This window comes from Homo sapiens, chromosome 12 (assembly GCF_000001405.40).
Source record: "Homo sapiens chromosome 12, GRCh38.p14 Primary Assembly".
In the NCBI taxonomy this organism is placed as follows: Eukaryota; Metazoa; Chordata; class Mammalia; order Primates; family Hominidae; genus Homo; species Homo sapiens.
Genome location: NC_000012.12, coordinates 68,290,214 through 68,294,565, shown reverse-complemented (window position 1 = coordinate 68,294,565; position 4,352 = coordinate 68,290,214). Strand labels below are relative to the sequence as shown.

The following is a 4,352-nucleotide window of genomic DNA, read 5'->3' as shown; positions in this document are numbered from 1 at the left end:
TTTGGCTTCTCCAGAAAGTTATTACATGGAACAAATAATTATCTTGTAGAAGAATTCTACTCCTAACAGGTTAATGAACAGTTATACTTGTTTTGCAGCTGTCAGAATGGAATGGAGCCAAGTCTGTGATATTTTCGCACAAATGTGGGACAAAGAATTTCCAAGGCAGACTCATTTACAGAAATTTAACACAAAACTTTTTAAATATATTTCTTCACTCATGGGACATGTTCTGTTGTCATACTGTTTATCTTGCAAATCATGATAAATTTAAGTTTCTAAAAAATATGGATTTTACAACTATATTACATAAAATCTTTACAGTAATACATAGAAAGTACTGAAGCTAAAATATACAGAATATTCATGCTTATTGGTTAGAAAACAAGTGAACAATCTGTTCTAAAGTGATAATTGGTCAAAAGTGCATTTGCAAATCGTTGGTTCACAATAAGTTTGTTAAAGATCTTACATTATCATGAAGTTTTAAAGAACTGTAGGCATACAAATATTTGCCTATCTTCCACTGACCTTTAAACTAGTTTGTTCATTAAAGGCTACTAAGGCATTAAATATGAAAATAAAAGTTTGAAATTACAGTATAAGTGGACTTTAGAACACAAATTGGCTTCTATACATATCTGAACTGAGGCATGTTAATTGTAAAATAGGTTTGGAACTTACCTCTCTAGATACATATTTTCCTCTTCCTCAAAGGTTGGTTAGTCTAGTTGGTTAGGACAGAGTTTTCAATGGCTGACCACTGATGTATGGTAAAGAAGGGAATTAGAGCTAGCTTGCAGGGAATTTTGCATAACTCAGTCTATTTTATCTAAGCTGTAGATGTAAAATCTGGGTACACCCACTGGAGTGAATCAAACCACATGAACTTGATCTATCAGGTGTTAGAAGGATTAGGATATAGTTCTCATGGGGACAAGGTCATGAACCCAGTCTCTATGCAACAATTTAGCTCTGCAGTTATTGACTGCTTCTGTTAAAAACCCTATTCAGTGACTCAGGGGAGAGAATAGTGTTGAGGGCCCAGTAGTGTTTTAATTGCTCATACTAAGGGTAACTCAGAAGACATGCATTTGGGTTGGTGAGTAGTCTTAGTTACATGACAACTGCCCCTTGAGATTTGCTAGTATTCAGGAGCTGGGATTGCTAATTCAAATTTTTATTAGTTTTATTAAGGCATACTTTAAACTGCAGTTGTTAAAAAAATTAGAGCTCAGTGAGTTTGAATAGATGTACACATCTGTGAAACTAACACCACAATCATGATACATTATGTTTCCATCACCCCAAAAGTTTCTTCATATTCTTTTGCAGTCAGTCTGTCCTTCCACCCCTGGTCCCCAAGGCAACCAATAATCTGCATTCTGTTGGTATAAATTAGTTTACAGGAATTTTATATAAATGGAGCCATCCTTTATGCCTGGCTTTTACTTAGCATAATATTTTTGAGAGTCATCCATGTTTTGGTGCGCATGTTGCCTCTTTATTCACTTGCTGGTGGACTTTGGGGTTGTTTTCAGTTCGGGATTATAATGAATAAAACTGCTATCAGTATTGGTGTGCAAGTCTTTGTGTAGATATATGCTTTCATTTCTCTGCAGAATATCCAGGTAATTCAATTTTTATTCATCTTGAATATAACTTCTGCTTTGAGTATACAGTATATACTCAAATAAATATTATAAACTGGTAGCTTGATCTTTTCGTCTAAATTAATATCTCACAAGCCACACTGGGGAGCCAACCGCAGAACTGCAACGAGTGGTTTTTCTAAAATGCATACACCTACCTGCTTTTTTCTCTGCCCCTCCCCCATCTTCACCCCAGGTGTTGAGATTCTCAGTGTATCCGTGTTTGAGAGCCCTTATAAAAATGCACCAAAACACATACATGGGAGGTTTCGCATGTTAATTTCTGGTCTCATCTCTGGATCCCCATGGAATTCTGAACTCAAAATTAAACCTTGAAGGATAGTTGTGACGATTAAGGATAAATAACATGATAAATATGCTTGGTACATAGGAGGAAATGTTACCATGAGATTTAAGCATAAATATCATTTTACAGATGGGAAGACCGACTTAGATGAAATAACTGGCCCAAGATCTGAAGGCTGGTGAATTAAATCTAGGCCTCCTTACTCGAAATCCACCCACACTAACTCCTTTGAAGTGTGTATGCTAAAATTGCAAGTCCCACTGTGATTCAGTTCTCTCTCTGGTTGATTCATTTGGGAGTTAATTTTCTACTTTGCCTTCTTGGAAGATAAATGACTACCTTTTCTAGTCGGGAAAAAGAATATGTGAGCATTGAATTATTGTACAAATGGATTCAACCAGAATGAAAGCAAATTAATATTCAAAACAAGCTTGTCCTTAAGTAGAGAAGTGTTGAAGTTGGCTACTTAGGGAGCTCAAGGATGGATTATATATTTTTGTTTTAATTGTGCATGCACATATCAGACATCCAGAAAATATCCTGACTTCTGGAAGTTTACCAAAGGAACAAATAATGTAAAATGGTAGATGATCCCAGAATTATTTCTATTTGGTTTTGGAATATGTTTTTGGTACTTTTACATCTGAAAGTGGTAGTCATGTTAGTGTGCTCAGGGCCCAGTCTGTCAAACCACCATTACTCAGTTTCCCAAGGTGATTCTGCTGATAGAGATTACTCCAGGCCAAACAACAGTCTATGTCATTGGACTAGCTAGGGTTGTGCACCAATGGGTCTGGTCACATGGGGTCTCTGAGAAGCCAACTTGCCCCATGAGCTTGACTCATGGACTAAAAGCAGGCTACTGATCTCTTCAGCTCCGTGCTGATGAACTTTCTTGCTAATGTTGACTCTGCAATCTAACCATACGTGTCTTTCTCCCATGGCAAGTGGAGGCACAGAAAGACCCAGCCCTTTGCTCTCAGGCTTAGAGCCAAGCTTCTTTAAATCATATGTCATGTTTCATTCCCACCCTGAGGCTCTTATACAGGAGGCAGCTCCCCATCCTGTGACTCCTGCCATGTGGCAGGTAAGAGCAAAGGATGAGTCATCTTAAAGATGGCATCCATTTCTCTTCTACGAAGTGCTCTACCCACTAGTCTCCATCCGTAGTTTCATTCTGCCCTATATCCATATAAAGCATATCTGGAAATTGAGAAATGAGGACTTGGGGGACACTAAGCCACCTTTGGAAATCAGAACATGAGGCCAACAGGTAGAGTAATGTTTGGGGAGTTTACACCAATTCAGACCACATAATGGACAATTTAGATAATGCTGGGAAATTGTTCAGTTTCTCCCCTATACAGTCTACATGCCAGTATTATGCTGGAGCTAACTCATGGGCCAATCATTAAATAAGAATGTTGTGAGCAAGTTGTTAAAGTTATCAGTAGTTAGAAATTGGCCATGGTGGGAGTATTTACACCACTGAAATCAACAGATGCCATAAATTAGGGCTTCTCCCATTTACTGGGAGGCGGTTTACAAGCCCATCACTAGCTACTGCCTCAGTCTCTCCTAAACTTTCCATATCACTTGCCTGACAGAGAAAACAATCTACTTCAGAAAGCCAGCTCAAGATAAGCTGCTTTAATATTTATTATACCACTTACATATTCCTTGGCTTATACAAATGGTTTGGTTTAGTTTATTTTCTTGGCTGAAGTCCACCTAGAAAATAAAAACAAGCCACAAATAACAATAGACTTACAGAGGGAGACTATGCAGAGACGGCCTAGGAATCTATATGTGTAATCTTCCAGATTCTCATAGGTAGTTTGGGAACAACTGGCTTTGGGGTTATAGTAGCCTATGTTCTAGTCCTAACTCCACCTTGAGCAAGCCAATTGAACTTTGAGCTTGTATTCCTCATCTTGCAGATTAAGATCACTCACCAATTTAGTTTTCAGATTAAATGGCATAAGGTCTGTGAAGTTTTCATATATGCTATTTAAATGTTATTCACTTCAAAATGTTTAGTTTTATTATGTCGGCAAATTTTCATTAAAACAACAAGAAAAAAAGCCTTGTTTTAGAGAGGCTAAGGTTAAATCTAATAAGCAGGTGACAGGGTACCCTGAAATCGTGGCCTCTCATCACAGACCTATCAGTTGTGACCTACATTCAGCTTACCCAGAGGCAGTTTCAGGTAGGGGTGCTGAAATGATTTGTCTATTTCCGTTATGTGGTAAAGCGAAAAAAGACTGACTACAGTGTTGTGACTCAGCTACTCTAGAAGGTGGAACTAATTACCTGATAAATGCAAACTATATTAGCGTAACCATGAATTGGAGATGTTATCAGCTTTGAGTCAGGAAATGCAGAGATAAAGT

The 4,352-nt window shown here is 37.8% G+C and overlaps 1 annotated feature.

The window, feature by feature from the left end:
* Window positions 4,055-4,114: a silencer, noted in NCBI's record as "silent region_4645". NCBI's record gives its function as "represses an Ori minimal core promoter by ATAC-STARR-seq in GM12878 lymphoblastoid cells {active_cell/tissue: GM12878}" and the evidence as "EXISTENCE:reporter gene assay evidence [ECO:0000049][PMID:35858748]".